Consider the following 19,441-nt stretch of genomic DNA (forward strand, 5'->3'; position numbering starts at 1 on the left):
CTCAACAGAGGCAGTAGCATATATAATTTTTCTAAAAATAATTGTTAAATTATAAATACTTTACATTTACTTTTATAATGATGTTTTCACTTTGAAATTTCAAATTACATTAAGAAAAGGCATGAGATTGTTTTCTTTGTCCAAAAGAAGTACAAATCTAAAAATCTGAGAACTTAGATTAGATTATCTTAAATTTACATGTCAGGACTAATGTTCAATTGAAGACACTATATAAAAGTTTTTTTATATGCCACAGTGAGATGAATCATTTTTGTTTACCTCTATAAAACAAATAGGTGTCACAGTATCTTAAACTGACTTAAATCATAACATCCATAAAGTCTTTGAATATTTTGAAAATTTACATATGTGGCTGTCTCTAATTTAAACATGAATCGGGTCTTAAGTTTCTTGTTTCTTCAGTATACCACAAATATCTAAGGAAACTATGCAAAAATCATGTTTGCCTAACATGGTATATATGGCATATAAACTGAGTGATCATAGAAAATTAACACAGGTGTTTGGAAAACATAAAATAGCTGCTGGTTCATAATAAATTGTGATTCATTAGCAATCCTAATTTCAAATTTAGTTAAATTTTTGTCAATTAAAAATGATGAGTGTTGTTTATATACTAGAATTGCTAAAAAGATCAGTCAGGATTATCAATCAACTCTTCTCCCTTCCTTTGACAAAATGCAGAAAATTGAAACACATATTCATAATATGTATTTGATAAGTTATTAAACTGCTTCTTATTGAGAAAAGTTTGCCTTATAAAACCACACAATTTCTAGCTGCATTACCTTATAAACATTACTTCATTAAATTTCCAAAATTCTTCGCATCTTCTATATTCCTTGCTTAATGTATTTAAACAAAAATTTTAGATGTTCTTAATACATAGTTTTAAGACATAAGTGTCTTTAAAAATCCTAAATCTCTTATTAGTCATGTCACAAATCTGAAATATATTTTACAAATAACGCTTGATTTCCCTACAGTTATATTGTATATAAAGTTAATATGTCAGAACAGAAAAACGTTCTAAAACTCTAAATAATAGCTAAGTACATAAACTAGGATATTTTATTTCATTTTAATTAACAGGTAGTTATTAAGTACCTGCTGTGCCATAGGTGTAATGGAGAATTAAAAAAAATAGTCATTATTTTTTTGAACTTGTTGGGAAGATAAGCCTATATGAAATAATTTAAAAATAATGAGTAACTTTATAGTTACAGTATACAAATACAACTGATTTTCTCAAGGAACATAGAGTATGCTTGGGATATACAGACTTACACATATGAACAGAAAACAGATGGGGCCTCCAGCTAGTTAACTGCTCCTGATCTGGCCTTTTATCAATAAGGAGACACTGACGTTTGACCATGGACTTTTCTCTGTGGTCCACACATATGTGAAATGTGAACTGCTAAAACAGTTTCAGAAGAATCTAGTTTAGAGGCTCTCTAGCATTTCAAGTGTCTCAGAACCTGAGAAAGGGATGAAATCTGACTTTACTCCCTGTTCCCTGCACATGTTTCCTGGGAAGTGATGGGAAGTCAAAAAACACAAGGCTTGAAATGGTTGCTGTAGCAGGTATGACAAATATGACTCTTTCCTTCTGTTTCATGAGAAAGTAATTTTTCTCTCAGCAATGCTAAGTCATCCTGACCACTTCTGACTTTTTCTTTGGAATAGTGAGAGGAACCAAAGACCAGTGTGACTGAGGTCACAACACTGGCTTCAAGTATGTTCTGTGGAGTGGAAGGGTTCTTGAGGAGTGTCAGGGTCATTAGTACAGTAAGCTATACTTTTAACTTTTTTTATACCTTGGATTTCCATGTAAGAGCTCTTTGTATGTGTGTGTGTGTACACAGGTACATGTGTGCATATGTGCACACGTACTTATGTTACAGATGTGACACAGGGTAGATTCTGCTGCTTACAAAAGGCTTTGGAATACTATAGGTATAGACAGTAATTCTTACAGGAAATCAGAAATTAAGGAAAAGAAGGTTGGCTGACATTATCAAAGAAGACTTAACCAAAAAGAAGTGACTTGCAGCATTGATGAAATTTGTCATAAGCTGAAAGACCTCTAGGCAGAAAGGTGCAAATGAATCAAAATAAGTGGATTGCAAAAAACAAACAAAAAACTGGATTGAACAGAGAGTATATGTGAAACATCTAGAGATAAATCAGAGAAGGATGGTGACATTATATTATAAGGGTCTCAAATTCCAGCATAAGGTATTTCGAGGAGAACAATTCCTGTAATGTTTAGGAAGATAAATCTGGTAATTCTATGCAGAATCCAATGGTGAAGAAAAATTGAAAAAAAAAGTTGCTTTTAATTTGAGGTTTGCTGCATTACTACAGTCACAAGACAATGAGGTCTGGTATTATGATGGTGGCAGTGTGAAAAGATAAAAGGGGCCAAACAGAACATTCTTTGACTTCTTCAAGACAATTATAAATTAAAATAATAAGTGAAGCCATTCATCTCTCCTTTGATTCAATAAATATTAAATGCTTACCACATTCTTTTAATATCCCATTGTGTTAGACCCCAAGAATGTTAACAGAAGTAAACATCTAATGAGTGACACTGAATTAAATAATTAATAATACTAGGGTACAAGCTACAAAGGCAGAGATTTTTATTCTTCTTTGTCTATTGTTGCATTCCTAGGGCCTAGGATAGTGCCTGGCACATAGGGGATCCTCAATAAATATTTGCTGAATGAATGAAGGAACAATGCAATGGGCATTGTTCATGGTGGACTCATTCATCATGCTCATCAATGGTGAACTTGATGAAGTCTCCTGGAGGATGTGGTACTTAAGCGGAAACTTGATGAATGAAGAGGAGTTAGTCACAGAACAGTGGGACATGAAAGGGAATGTTGCTCACAGTAGAAACAACATATGTCATATTACAGGAAGTGAAAGATCTATAAACTTGAAGTTTAGGTGTGGAATGAAAAGATATGACGCTGTAAAGATTAACAAGGGACAGGCCAGGCACAGTGGCTCACGCCTATAATCCTAGCATTTTGGGAGGTGGAGGTGGGCAGATCGCTTGAGCCTATGAATTCGAGACCAGCCTGCACAACGTGGTGAAACCAGATCTCTACAAAATATACAAAAAAACCCCCCAAAAGATTAACAAGGGATAGATAATCAGGGTCTTGTCATCCAGGCTAGGAAGCTTGAATTTCATCCAAAGAGGAGCCATGGAAGAAAAATGGGCAACAGAAAGACTCTATCTTGCTTCTGGCAAGTAATTATACCTATCTAAGCCTCAAGTTCTTAAGAATAAGGACAATATCATCTCCCATACAAAGTGGTTGTAAAGATAAAAAATTTGATAAAGTTGTAGTAACTTGTACAGAATAGTACTCTCACAGAAGACAGCTAGAATAACTGGTACAGGTTAATACTTCGGCAGAAGGTAAGCTCCCTATTCCTACTATACCACAGCTTTCTTTAGCACCACTTGATTAGAACTATCCCCTTAATAAATGGTTACAATAATATTTCAATGTTAAAATATCACTAGCATCAGGCTAGGCTTTTAAAGAGTTTTGTATATCTTATTTTCTATCTTGCCTTCTTTAATTGAATGCTAGGTAATGGGTAACTGATGGTCCCAATTTTACATCTGTAGATGTAAAGTGCAAGCAAGATGACACTGCTTTCTTATTTACCACTTTTCACACAATATGACCAAATTAGAAAAAAAAACTGCAGAAATATTTAAAATAGAAATTACATATTAATGAAGTACATAGAAATAACTATGTTGGGCTGGGTGTGGTGGCTCATGCCTGTAATCCCAGAACTTTGGGAGGCCAAGGTGGAAAGATCAGCTGAGGTTCCTAGGAGTTCCAGACCAGCCTGGCCAATATGGTGAAACTCCGTCTCTACTAAAACAATACAAAAATTAGCCAGGCATGTAATCTCAGCTACTTGGAAGGCTGAGGCAGAATTGCTTGAGCCCAGGAGGCAGAGGTTGCAGTGAGCCGGGATCGTGCCATTGCACTCCAGCTGGGGCAACAGAGCAAGACTCTGTCTCAAAAAAAGAAAAAAGAGAAAGAAAGAAAAAGAAAGAAAGAGAGGGAGAGAGAGACAGAAAGAAAGAAAGAAAGAAAGAAAGAAAGAAAGAAAGAAAGAAAGAAAGAAAGAAAGAAAGAGAAAGAAAGAAAGAAAGAAAGAAAGAAAGAAAGAAAGAAAGAAAGAAAGAAAGAAAGAAAGAAAGAAAGAAAGAGAAAACTGTATTGGTGTTGAGGAGCACATTTTACTACCATGCTTTTAAAATCCCATCATTTACAGAGCTCTTTCACATTGATATTCATTATTAAAGTAGCTAAATATTCACAGGTTACTGAATTATTAATTGATGCACTTTACATCTTGCTTTCACTTTTCATCTACAGATGTAAAATATTCTTTTCACTGTTTGTAAATATAATGTACTTCAAATGAAGCAAAGAGTTTCGAGGTATCTTAAAATAGAGATTCAATTCATCAAAGCCTCAAAGCTAATGAAGTCTAAATGCTCGTTAGCACATAGGCAGGGGGGGTATAAGATACTATAGAAACTTAAGCCACTTGCAGGATCTTCTCTTAAGCTCTTTGCAAATCTTGCCATTCACGAACATTACTAAACATATCTTTCCCTCATAAAATGCAGTACAATATAAACACCGCCTTCAGGCGCAAATGGATCTGAGCTTAAAGGAAGCCTGCCTCTTTCACTCTTGATCAACTTCTCTCTGCACTTTGATCTTACTTTCACCTACTGCACTTGCACCTACTCCAAGTATCTTCTAAATCACATCCAGCCAGCTCGATAACCTAAAAGTTAGATCCACCAATTCCAGCAAAACTATGCCATGAAATAAATGTGACTGGCCCTCTGAAGGTCTCCTGCACACTCATGAGTCAATCACTGCATCCAGGGAATGGTGCATACTGACTGGCCAGTTTTGGGTCATGTGTTCACTCCCTCCTACTGGTAGGAGGAAGGCTAAGCCTATTATCAAAAGAAAAGGGATTGGGAAAAATATTCCAGGCAACAATCACAAGCAGGGGTTTGTGCATTTTTTAAGAAGTAAAAACTCTTATATATTTCTCTTTATCATAAAGATCATTGCAGTAGCCATTCCAGTGCCTTGGCTAGAGGTCAGGTTCTTACTTCAGCAATCTTGGCAAGACCTGGAAAACTCACTGAAACCATTTTATATTCACCCCACCTAGTTTCTGCATAGAATTTATAATAGATTCATTTATATTACAGATCTAAATCCCTGAACAATATGACATTTTATTCTTTAGTTTATCTGAAGCCATTCTTTCTGGCTATTAAGTCATCACCTCATCACTTTCTTCTCACTTTCAATGGAACTTGCTTTCTTTTCATGGATATCTTTTTTCATAGGAAATAAACACTCATACTACATGGTAGGGGGTAGGAAGAGAGATGTGCAGGTAAATTTATACACAATATTTTTAAAGGAAAAGCCAAAATGAAATTCATATGCTGAGAAATCTGCTAGAATAATGCATGAGTTAAATTAACACATGTAATGAACTACTGTGAAAGGTCAAATCTTACAATGTAAAAATTGTGAATGCCAAGAGACTACTCTTCTCCTACTGTAGTATCCTGTGATGTCTAAAATATGGTGAAAACATTTTAAGTACCATGACTCATGTCTCTGAATATGGCAGTAGTTTTCATACAAAGATCAAGTGTTAAAAAGGCATGGAAAACTGGAAATGAAACAACTATATAAAAACCCACTTAGGGGATGATCTAATCTTCGTTGATTCAAATTCCTGTAAGGATTAGAAAATTCTAAGTTAAGTACAATTTCCATATTTCTCTTTCCACAGTTGTCATTAATATGGTATTCACAAAATACTTTTTTACTAAGATACAAAAGATGAATTTCCTTAATATTTCAGAGATTATTGCTTCTCACTTACAGTCATAATCCTGTATTTAGGAAATCAAGACTGATTACTATGGAAATTCTGATCGTACAGATACAGAGATTATGATAATAGACCTCTTTTTATGATGCACCTTTTATTCATTGTATCTTTAAACACTTCAAAAACCTGACGAACTCATATTTATCCACCAGTAAAGCTCTCGAGATGAGACAATACCTATTGGCTACACAAAGCAAACTTAGTTAAGTATCAAAAACAGAAAATAAACACATTCTCATTCCCAGAAGATCTCAAAAACACCTTACATAAGTAAAATCTACCTGTGTTGGAAAATGGCCAGGCAACTACAATCTACAATGCTGTTTTTATGAAGGTTGTTAATAGTACATTAACACTTTGAAATTGCCAAGATGCCATTTATCCCATGTTTAAGGAAAGACATTTCCAAAAGTGAACAGGGTAAGTGCCAAGTGTAAGTCTACTGCTTACATCTTGAGAATCTGTTCAATACCCTGATTCCTCTAGGATTTAAGTCCAAATTCTGCCCCTTACACCCATCCCAGGGGACAGAAATCTTGTTTTCCCTTATCTGAGGTTTGATTTGGGTGTATCATTTATTCAGAGAAACCTCTAGGCCTATTCACTAGTTAAATGTCAAAATATCAGCTTTTGTTAGATCTTCCACCTCACCCCCAACTCCATTAGTGCCCTCTGCTTGCTTCTGGTACATCCAGTTCCTCTACTTTGAATGTCTCTGTTCTAGATATTATGGGTTAAACTGTGCTCTACCCCCCACCAAAAATATGTTGATGACCTAACCCCTGGTAGCCACAAATGTGACTATACTTAGAAATAGGATCTTTGCAGATGTAATCAGGTCACGCTTGATTGGGATGGGCCTTAATCCAATATAACTGGTGTCTTTATAATTAAAGAAACACTTGAACACAGGCAGAATCAGAGAGGCCATGTAAAGATGGAGGCAGAAAATGGAATCTTGCTGTCACAAGCCAAAAAAAGGCCTGGAGCTACCAGAAGCTGGAAGAGGCAAGGATCTACTTCTAGAGGTTTCAGAGGCAAGAAGGCCCCGCCTACATCCTGATTTCAGGCTTCTGGCCTCCAGAACTGTGAGACAATAAATTTCTGTTGTTTTAAGTGACTCGGTTGGTAGCACTTTGTTGAGGCCAGCCCTAAGAAACAAATACACCAAATGTATTACTCAATTATTTGAGTTCTATTGCTATACATATGCACAACAACAATAACAACAACAACATTTTGAGTCTTAAAATATGTCAAGCAATGTTTCTAAGCATTTTGGATGAAATAGTTCAATTAACCTTTCTGTAACCATAGGAGGTGAGTACAAGTATTTATCATCATTTCCCAGATGGAGAATTGAGAAAGATTAAGCAATTGTCCAAGCTGATAAGTAGCAGAGCTGGAATTCAAACCAAGGCAGTCTCACTCTGGGGACTGTGCTCTATACAGGATCCTTACTGATGTCAGCTACTACATCTCTGATGTACATATAGGACTTTCTGCCATCATAAGCCCCTGAGTCTTTATGGAAAGGCATCCCTCACATAGAGATATCTAGGCCACAGACTTGTCCAGTCTTCCCTATCCTAATAAGAGGCTATGTGCCCTGAGAGCTAACATAAAAATCCTTCTCAAAATTGCAGCTAGATAGGAGGAATGAGTTATAGTGTTCTATACCACTACAGGATGACTAGAATTAATATTTTATGTATTTTCAAATAGTGAAAAGGATATTGGGTGTTCCCAACACAAAGAAATGATAAATGTTTGTGATGATGGATATGCTAATTACCTTGGTCTGATCATCCATCATACATTATATGTATTGAAACATCACTATGTTGTACACCATGAATATGGACACAATTATCATTTGTCAATTAAAATTTTTTATTAAAATTAATTTTTGATTCCTGGGCAAGATGGCCGAATAGGAACAGCTCCTGTCTGCAGCTCCCAGCGACACCAATGCAAAAGGCTGGTGATTTCTGCATTTCCAACTGAGGTACCCGGTTCATTTCACTGGGACTGGTTACACAGTGGCTATAACCCACAGAGGGCAAGCAGAAGCAGGGCGGGGCGTCACCTTACCTGGGAAGTGCAAGGGGTTGTGAAACTCCCTCCTCTAGCCAAGGGAAGCCTTGAGGAACTGTGCTGTGAGGGACAGTGCTCTCCGGCCCAGATACTACGCTTTCCCCACGGCCTTTGCGACCCATAAACCAAGAGATTCCCTCGGGTGGCTACACCACAAGGGCCCTGGGTTTCAAGCACAAAACTGGGCGGCTGTTTGGGCAGGCACCAAGCTAGCTGCAGGAGTTTTTTTTCATACCCCAGTGGTGGCTGGAAGACAAGCGAGATGGAACCATTCACTCCCCTGGAAAGGGGGCTGAAACCAGGGAGCCAAGTGGTCTTGCTCAGCAGATCCCACCCCCATGGAGCCCAGCAAGCTATGATACACTGACTGGAAATTCTTGTTGCCAGGACAGCAGTCTGAAGTTGACCTGGGACTTTTGAGCTTGGTGTGGTGAGGGACATCTGCCATTACTGAGGCTTGAGTAGGCAGTTTTCCCCTCACAGTGTAAACAAAGCCCAGGGAAATTCAGACTGGGCAGAGCAAACCACAGCTCAGCAATGACGATGTAGCCAGAATGCCTCTCTAGATTCCTCCTCTCTGGGCAGGGCATCTCTGAAAGAATGGCAGCAGCCCCAGTCAGGGGCTTATAGATAAAACTCCCATCTCCCTGGGACAGAACACCTGGGGAAAGGGCAGCTGTGGGCACAGCTTCAGTAGACTTAAACGTTCCTGTCTGCCAGCTCTGAAGAGAGCAGCAGATCTCCCAGCACAGTGCTTGAGTTCTGCTAAGGGACAGACTGCCTCCTCAAGTGGGTCCCTGATCCCCGTGCCTCATCACTGGGAGACACCTCCCAGCAGGGGTCAACAGACATCTCATATAGGAAAGCTCTGGCTGGCATCTGGTGGGTGCCCCTCTGGGACAAAGCTTCTAGAGGAAGGAACAAGCAGCAATCTGTTGTTCTGCAGCCTCTGCTAGTGATAACCAGGCAAACAGGGTCTGGAGTGGACCTCCAGCAAACTCCAGCAGACCTGCAGCAGAGGGGCCTGACTGTTAGAAGGAAAACTAACAAACAGAAAGGAATAGCATCAACATCAACAAAAACAATGTCCACACAGAAACTCCATCTGAAGGTCAACAGCATCAAAGACCAAAGGTAGATAAATTCACGAAGATGAGGACAAACCAGTGCAAAAAGGCTGAAAATTCCAAAAACCAGAATGCCTCTTCTCCTCCAAAGGATCACAACTCCTCACCAGCAAGGGAACAAAGCTGGATGGAGAATGAGTTTGACCAATTGACAGAAGTAGGCTTCAGAGGGATGCATAATAACAAACTCCTCCTGAGCTAAAGAAGCATGTTTTAACCCAATGTAAGGAAGCTAAGAACATTGATACAAGGTTAGAGGAATTGCTAACTAGAATAACCAGTTTAGAGAAGAACATAAATGACCTGATGGAGCTGAAAAACAGAGCACGAGAACTTAATGAAGCACATAGAAGAAGCAACAGCCAAATTGACCAAGCGGAAGAAAGGATATCAGAGATAGAAGATCACCTTAATGAAACAGAGCATGAAGACAAGATTACAGAAAAAAGAATAAAAAGGAACAAACAAAGCCTCCAAGAAATACAGGACAATGTGAAAAGACCAAACCTATGTTTGATTGGGGTACCTGAAAGTGATGGGGAGAATGGAACCAAGTTGGAAAAAACAGTTCAATATATTATCCAGGAGAACTTCCTCAACCTAGTAAGACAGGCCAACATCCAAATTCAGGAAACACAGAGAGCACCACAAAGATACTCCTTGAGAAGAGCAACCCTAAAACACATAATTGTCAGATTAACCAAGGTTGAAATGAAGGAAAAAATGTAAAGAGCAGCCAGAGAGAATGGTTGGGTTACCCACAAATGGAAGCCCATCAGACTAACAGGGGATCTCTCTGCAGAAACCCTACAAGCCAGAAGAGAGTGGGGGCCAATATTCAGCATTCTAAAAGAAAAGAATTTTCAACCCAGAATTTTATATCCAGCCTCATAAATGAAGGAGAAATAAAATCCTTTATAGACAAGCAAATGCTGAGGAATTCTGTCACTACCAGGCCTGCCTTACAAGAGTTCCTGAAGGAAGCACTAAATATCGAAAGGAAAAACTGGTACCAACCATTGCAAAAACAAACCAAAATGTAAAGTCTATCGATATTATGAAGAAACTCCATCAACTAATGGGCAAAACATCCAGCTAGCATCATAATGACAGGATCAAATTCACACATAACAATATTAACCTTAAATAAAAATGGGCTAAATGCCCCAATTAAAAGGCATAGACTGGGCTGGGTGTGGTGGCTCACACCTGTAATCCCAGCACTTTGGGAGGCCGAGGTGGGCAGATCACCTGAGATTAGGGAGTTTGAAACTAGCCTGGCCAGGCTGGCCAACCTGGTGAAACCCCGTCTCTACTAAGAACGCAAATATTAGTGGGGCATGGTGGTGGGGGCCTATATTCCCAGCTCTTGGAAGGCTGAGGCAGGAGAACTGCTTGAACCCAAGAGTTGGAGGTTGTAGTGAACCAAGATCGCGCCATTGTACTCCAGGCTGGGTGACAAAAGTGAGACTCCGTCTCAAAATAAATAAATAAATAAATAAATAAATAAATAAATAAATAAAATAAAAAGGCACAGACTGGCAAATGGGATACAGAGTCAAGACCCATTGGTGTGCTGTATTCAGGAGACCCATCTCATGTGCAAAGACACACATAGGTTCAAATCAAAGGAATGGAGGAAGATTTACCAAGCAAATAGAAAGAAAAAAAAAAAAAAGCAGTGGTTGCAATCCTAGTTTCTGATAAAACAGACTTTAAACCAACAAAGATAAAAAAAAAGACAAAGAAGGGCATTACATAATGGTAAAGGGATCAATGCAACAAGAAGAGCTAACTATCCTAAATATATATGCATCCAATACAGGAGCACCCAGATTCATAAACCAAGTTCTAAGAGACCTACAAAGAGACTTAGACTCCCACACAATAATAGTGGGAGACTTTAACACCCCACTGTCAATATGAGACAGATTAATGAGACAGAAAATTAACAAGGATATTCAGAACTTGAACTCAGCTCTGGACCAAGCAGACCTAATAGACATCTACAGAACTCTCCATCCCAAATCAACAGAATATACATTCTTCTCAGCACCACATCACACTTATTCTAAAACTGACCACATAATTTGAAGTAAAACACTTCTCAGCAAATGTAAAAGAATGGAAATCATAATGAACAGTCTCTCAGACCACAGTGCAATCAAATTAGAACTCAGGATTAAGAAAGCCACTCAAAACCACACAACTACATGGAAACTGAACAACCTGCTCCTGAATGACCACTGGGTAAATAACCAAATGAAGGCAGACATAAAGAAGTTATTTGAAACCAATGAGAACAAAGACACAATGTACCAGATTCTCTGGGACACAGCTAAAGAAGTGTACAGACGGAAATTTATAGCACTAAATGCCCACAGGAGAAAGTGGGAAAGATCTAAAATCTACACCCTAACATCACAATTAAAGAGCTAGAGAAGCAAGAGCAAACAAATTCAAAAGCTAGCAGAAGACAAGAAATAACTAAGATCAGAGCAGAACCAAAGGACATAGAGACACAAAAAAACCTTCAAAAAAATCAGTGATTCCAGGAGCTGGTTTTTTGAAAAGATTAAGAAAATAGACCACTAGACAGACTAATAAAAAATAAAAGAGAGATGAATCAAATAGAAACACTAAAAAATGATAAAGGGGTGATCACCACTGATCCCACAGAAATAAAAACTACCATCAGAGAATACTATTAACACCTCTACATGAATAAACTAGAAAATCTAGAAGAAATGGATAAATTCCTGGACACATACACCCTCCCAAGACTAAACCAGGAAGAAGTTGAATCCCTGAATAGACCAATAACAAGTCTGAAATTGAGGCAGTAATTAATAGCCTACCAACCAAAAAAAGCCCAGGACCAGATGTATTCACAGCCGAATTCTACCAGAGGTACAAAGATGAGCTGGTACCATTTCATGTGAAAATATTCCAAACAAGAGAAAAAGAGGGACTCCTCCCTATCTCATCTTATGAGGCCAGCATCATCCTGACACTAAACGCTGGAAGAGACACAACCAAAAAAGAAAATTTCAGGCCAATATCCCTGATGGACATCTATTCAAAAATCCTCAATAAAATACTGGCAAACTGAATACAGCAGCACATCAAAAAGCTTATCCACCACGATAAAGTCAGCTTCATCCCTGGGATGCAAGGCTGGTTCAACATACGCAAACCAATAAACATAATCCATCACATAAACAGAACCAAGGACAAAAACCACATGATTATTTCAATAGATGCAAAAAAGGCCTTCGATAAAATTCAACACTCCTTCATGCTAAAAACACTCAATAAACTAGGTATTGATAGAACGTATCTCAAAGTAATAAGAGCTGTTTATGGCAAACCCACAGCCAATATCATACTGAATGGGAAAAAGCTGGAAGCATTCCCTTTGAAAACTGGCACAAGACAAGGATGGCCTCTCTCACTACTCCTACTCAACATAGTACTGGAAGTTCTGGCCAGGGCAGTCAGGCAAGAGAAAGAAATAAAGGTATTCAAATAGGAAGAGAAGAAGTCAAATTATCTCTGTTGGCTGACGACAAGATTGTATATTTAGAAAAACACATCATCTCAGCCCCAAAAGTCCTTAAGCTGATAAGCAACTTCAGCAAAGTCTCAGGATACAAAATCAATGTGCAAAAATCACATGTTTTCCTATACACCAATAATAGACAGAGAAATAAATCATGAGCAAACTCCCATTCACAACTGCTACAAAGAGAATTAATTACCTAGGAATCCAACTTATATGGGATGTGAAGGACCTCTTCAAGCAGAACTACAAACCACTGCTCAAAGAAATGAGAGGACACAAACAAATGGAAAAACATTCCATGCTCATGGATAGGAAGGATCAATATCATGAAAATGGCCATACTGCTCAAAGTAATTTATAGATTCAATGCTATTCCCATTAAGCTACCATTGACTTTCTTCACAGGAATAGAAAAAAAACTACTTTAAATTTCACATGGAACCAAAAAAGAGCCCATATAACCAAGACAATCCTAAGCAAAAAGAACAAAGCTGGAGGCATCAAGCTACCTGACTTCAAACTATACTACAAGGCTACAGTAACCAAAACAGCATGGTACTGGTACCAAAACAGATATATAGACCAATGGAACAGAACACGGGCATCAGAAATAACACCACACATCTACAGCTATCTGATCTTTGACAAACCTGACAAAAAGAAGCAATGAGGGAAGGATTCCCTATTTAAATAATGGTGTTGGGAAAACTGGCTAGCTATATGCAGAAAACTGAAACTGGACCTCTTCCTTACACCTTATACAAAAATTAACTAAAGATGGATTAAAGATTTAAATGTAAGACCTAAAACCATAAAAACCCTAGAAGAAAACCTAGGCAATACCATTCAGGACGTCGGCAAAGACTTCATGACTAAAACACCAAAAGCAATGGCAACAAAACCCAAAATTGACAAATAGGATCTAATTAAACTAAAGAGCTTCTGCAGAGCAAAAGAAACTATCATCAGAATGAACAGGCAACCTACAGAATGGAAGAAAATGTTTGCAATCTGTCCATCTGACAAAGGGCTAATATCCAGAATGTACAAGGAACTTAAATTTACAAGAAAAAAACAAAGAAGCTCATCAAAAAGTGGGTGAAGGATATGAACAGACACTTTTCAAAAGAAGACATTTATGTGGCCAACAAACAAAAAAAGCACATTATCACTGGTCATTAGAGAAATGTAAATCAAAACCACAATGTCATCTCACGCCAGTTAGAATGGCCATATCATTAAAACATGAGGAAACAACAGATGCTGGAGAGGATGTAGAGAAATAGGAAAGATTTTGCACTGTTGGTGGGAATGTAAATTAGTTCAACCATTGTGGAAGACAGTGTGGCAATTCCTCAAGGATCTAGAACTGGAAATACCATTTGACCTAGCAATCTTATTACTGGGTATATACCCAAAGAATAATAAATCATTCTACTATAAAGACACATGCACACGTATGTTTATTTCAGCACTATTCACAATAGCAAAGACTTGGGGACAATCCAAATGTCCATCAATGTTAGACTGGATAAAGAAAATGTGGCACATATATACTGTGCAGCCATAAAAAAGGATGAATTTATGTCCTTTGCTGGGACATGGATGAAGCTGGAAACCATCATTCTCAGCAAAATAACACAGGAACAGAAAACCAAACACCGCATGTTCTCACTCATAAGTGGGAACTGAACAATGAGAAAATATGGGCACAAGGAGGGGAACATCACACACCAGGGCCTGTGGAAGGGTGGGGGCCTAGGGGAGGGATAGCATGAGGAGAAATACCTAATGTACATGATGGGCTAATGGGTGCAGCAAACCACGATGGCACATGTATACCTATGTAACAAACCTGCACCTTCTGCACACGTATCACAGAACTTAAAGTATAATAACAATAAAAAAATTTTAATCCTTCTCAAAAAAAAAAAAAAATCAATATGTGAGAAGCCTGGGTCCATAACGATCACCTGAAAAATGTCCTGGAAATTTTAGTCGTTGGTACATGCAATGTGTGCCATGTCTGCCATGTCTGTGTTGAAACCCTTAGTGCAACAGTTTATTCTGAACTCCGTATTTTTAACACACACTGGCAAAACAGAATACACTCAGGATTAACATTATTCTGGGTCTTGAAACACTGTTTTATAAGAAAAACGGAGGCTACCTGGTCTAAAAAACAGAATCAATGGCAGCATGATACCTGTGCTCAAGTATCAGAGAGGCTTTCATGCATGAGGCACCAAGCTTATTTTCACTTATTTTCTCTGGTTCCCTCCTCTCCCCCAGAGGGCAGAATAAAAGCAAATGAGTGAAAGTTAAAAGGAAGCCCACTTAGTTCAACTGAAGAAAAAGAAAATTCATTTATAACAAGAAAACCATTCAGAATGGAATAGCTGGCACTGTGATGTAATGAGCTCACCCACACTAGAAACATTTAAGCAAAGTGTGAAACACCAAGTCGTTATTTTTATTTTATCCTATTCCTGTTTTTACTTTCATTTTCTTCTTTCTGATTAATTATTCTCTCCACTCATGGCAACTTACTTTGGGTAAACAGCTTGAACTCTGGTTCAAATGGCAGCACTAGCACTAATCAGCTATGATATATTGAACTATTCATTTAAATGTTCTCATATGTAAAACTGAAATAATAATATTCCACCTTGCAGGGCTGTCTGAGGATTAAAAAGTATATTGCATTGTGGCTGTCACTACCATATTTCAATATACCACTGATTATAAGACATATGATTAGTTTATCTATTTTTAAACAACAAAATGTTTTCCTATCACTTAGAATCTTTATCATACTTTATAAGTGAAACATTGATTAATATATTCCCAAATCTTCTTCCCATTGACTTTGGCTCATCAGTCATTTTTCACATCAGTATCATTCATGTTTTTACACCAAATATCATCTGTGCTATCAAATGTGTTCATCAGCCGGGTGTGTAATCCCAGCAATTTGGGAGGCTGAGGTGGGTAGATCACTGGAGGTCAGGAGTTAGAGACCAACCTGGCCAACATAATGAAACCCCGTCTCTACTAAAAATACAAAAATTAGCTGGACATGGTGGCATGTGCCTGTAGTCCCAGCTACTTGGCAGGCTGAGGCAGGAGAATGGCTTGAACCCGGGAGGCAGAGGTTGCAGTGAACCAAGATCGCGCCAGTGCACTGGAGCCTGGGTGACAGAACGAGACTCCGCCTCAAAAAAAAAAAAGTGTTCATGAAGCAATGTTTTTAAAGGAGCACTCCAGTATTATAACAAGGATTTTGTTGCTGGACTTCCTTGTTTGATGTATGATATGTGCTCTTCTGCTTGTATGTTGGCAAGAAAATATAACAGGCTTCATCAGCTTATGGTAATCTTTATTTCTCAAGTCCTTCCTACAAAGCATTTGGGTTTTGTTTTGTGTGAAAATTGGGAAATGCAGACAGTCATCCAATCAATAATGAATATTTTCTTTTCTATTACTAATGTGCACCTCACTGCCTTTTGTCTGTGTGTTTTTGAACAATAACATTTAGTTACTTGAAGACATTAAATAGCAATTAAACTCAACATACGTGGTTCCAACAATGCTTATAACTCAAAGAGACAATATAAACAGCTATAACTGAGTTCGTGCATGAGCGGGCAATGACAACTATAAATATATCATGACTAGTGTTTGACCAACAGCCACTTGAGAACCAGGCAAATTTCATAGTAGCTAAAATATTAAAAAAGTGCACCTTAGAATTGTAAAGTATATTGTTGTTTGATTAGTATAATTTTCCTTGACTGTAAGAGAGGTGTCTATTTAAATATGTACCTCTGTAGTTACATAAAAGAAGGGCTCAACAAGTATTTGCTTAATGGAGTACAGGTTACCAGGCATATTACAGTGGGGATTTTCTGATATTATCTACAGTAGAAGATTGCTAAATTACTTTCCAAACCTAGGATTATTTCATCCCAAAGCAATTAAAAAGGCAAGATGGGGGGAGTAGTAGGGAATCTGACTGAGTCATGCCCTGAAATACAACTAAAAGACCACTTTAAATAAGGAATTACAGAGACAACAAAGCTGGCTGTCTCTGTGGCTGAGGAATGGTTTGCAGTTCCCAGGTGTCATGCTCGGTGTGAGAACGCAAATAAACCTGTCCAGGCTCTCCCAGGTGTGCTATTGGGAATCATGTCATTTCCACAGCTTCTCTGTGGAGCACCTCAATGCCAGTATCCCTTCCCTACCCAACCAAACCAAAGGCTAGGGCTTCCCAGAGCAAGGGTAGGCTGATGTCCTTTGGAAGAGCTGAGCACCCACTCTCTCTGGTCTAGGTGTCTGCCTGTGGGATATTTTTACTTTTCACTGTGGCTGATTTTATTCTTTTCACAGGATCATCATCCTACATTAGTTTTAACTAGCCAATGCAATGCTTCCCTCCTCTCAACGTTTTCTCCTAATCTAAATGTGTCATAAGAAAGAGAGCAATTTACTACTCTCCATGGGCTGAGAGTAGGTACACATAAATTTGGGAAGCTCATTATAACTCACAGCTGTCAGTCCACAAAAAAAAAAAAAAACCTTCCACACACATGCACAAAAAAATAAAAAATTCAAACCAGCAAGGACTTTGTCTTTATTATTCTGCATTATATAAAACAGGTCACTAACAAGCGAGCAGTTGTATTTCCATATCTGTAAAATCAAGATCTCACTAATCTTTAAGTATTGCTTTTATCATATCACTCATCTGGGCAGAAATAAGCAATGGTTGCCTTTTGCCTAAATGACAGAAATCTAAATTCCTCATCATGGCACTACCATAACATATTCTGTCCTCTCAATACAAACTGGTTCTCTCTCACGTCTGCAGCCTTGTCTCATCAATCCCTTTGGAGAAATGGTTGGAATGGTTATGGGCTTGAGCTTTGATATTTACATAACTGATTTGAATCTTGGCTTTTCTTTCCTTAAGTGCATAATTTTTGGGTAAGTAACTAAGCTCCAATGAACATCAGAGTTCTCATCTCTAAAACAGAAATAAGACATCTATTCATTGGTTTATTGTGTGATATATTTAATCACCGAGCACATTAGCTGAAACATAGTAGGTTTATATAAATGGTAGCTATTATTACAGGTCAATTATCTCTTATCTGAAATGCTTGGGAACAGAAGTGTTTTGTATTTTGGATTTTTTGGGTTTTAGAATATTTATCTACTGAAAAGTTATCCATCCCTAATCCAAAAATCTAAAATCTTAAATATTCCAATGAGCATTTCCTTGGAGTGTCATGTTGGTACTCAAAAAGTTTCAGAATTTGGAGCCTTTTGGAATTCTCAAATTTTCAGATTAGGGATGCTCCCCTGTATAACAAAAGCATTCCACTCTGCACTCTTATTTGTCTGAAATCTAATTAGGCTTGCTCTACTATTCATTGTATACTGATATAATACATGAGTATTTTACATATGGTTACATACAAGGTCACAGATGTAAACTTATGACTATGATACTACATATGCATAAGGTTACATTTGTAACTTTTCATTGTTAATAATTTTATAATATGACAAATATATGAAATTGAAGTGATATAAATAATGTCAAAATATTATGAAAACCTAACATGTGAAAAACACTTTTTAAGAAAACATTCACATATACTATTTTCCTTAATCCTCAAATAAAACAGTAAACAATCCAAGTATTTTAATTTATGTAAACAGTTTAAGGAAACTAGGCCGGGCATGGTGGCTCACTCCTGTAATCCCAGCACTTTGGGAAGCTGAGGCAGGTGGATCACAACGTCAGGAGATCAAGACCATCCTGCTAACACAGTGAAACCCCGTCTCTACTAAAAATACAAAAACAAAATTAGCCAGGTGTGGTGGCAGGCACCTGTAGTCCCAGCTACTAGGGAGGCTGAGGCAGGAGAATGGTGTGAACCCAGGAGGCGGAGCTTGCAGGGAGCTGAGATCCCACCACTGCACTCCAAGCCTGGGTGACAGAGTGAGACTCCGTCTCAAAAAAAAAAAAAAAAAAAAGGACAACCCATTAAAGGTATTTTGGCTGACCAGTGATAGGGTCAAGCCCAGGATTCTTTTAACTCCTACTAATGTTCATACAAATTTATGCAGACATTCAGAAGACAAAGACAGCCTTTCTGTGTCCTCTAAGTACCCAGATTATGCCTTGCATCTGTACATTGTGGGAGCTCACAAATACTTTATTCGACCCCTAAAAGAATATGACAGATGTGGAAACAGTGCTTTGGGTATATGCCAGGAAAGAGTGAACATGAACAGAGTCCTGATAAATTTACAAAGTGGAATGGATCTTCTACCCAAAGTGACTTTTGAGGGTTTTTTTTGTGTTTTTTTTTTTTTTTTTTTTTGTCGTTGTTGCTGTTTGTTGGGTTTGCTTGTGTGCTTTTGTCCTGTAACTACTCAATAAATAACACAAAAGATAAAAGGCTTTGAGAACCTTAACTCTTTTTTCTATTGGCTTGGGGTGTAAATCCACTGCAACAACTATTACTACTTGAAAAGATATGCTAGAGTAAATAGAACAATACAGTTAAATTCACCTGAAGTCTTTAAAATCTTTTTTTTTTCCGGGTATTTTTAAGCCATGTGG

General features: G+C 37.9%; 1 protein-coding gene across 3 annotated transcripts in view, besides 1 other annotated feature; it reads right to left on the reverse strand.

Annotated features, from left to right (window-relative positions):
• PPP3CA (protein phosphatase 3 catalytic subunit alpha) overlaps positions 1 to 19,441 on the reverse strand; it is a 324,109-nt gene that overhangs the window by 97,101 nt on the left and 207,567 nt on the right. The window lies entirely within an intron of this gene.
• Positions 6,755 to 6,804: a silencer, noted in NCBI's record as "silent region_15590". NCBI's record gives its function as "represses an Ori minimal core promoter by ATAC-STARR-seq in GM12878 lymphoblastoid cells {active_cell/tissue: GM12878}" and the evidence as "EXISTENCE:reporter gene assay evidence [ECO:0000049][PMID:35858748]".

This window comes from Homo sapiens, chromosome 4, assembly GCF_000001405.40.
Source record: "Homo sapiens chromosome 4, GRCh38.p14 Primary Assembly".
Lineage (NCBI taxonomy): Eukaryota > Metazoa > Chordata > Mammalia > Primates > Hominidae > Homo > Homo sapiens.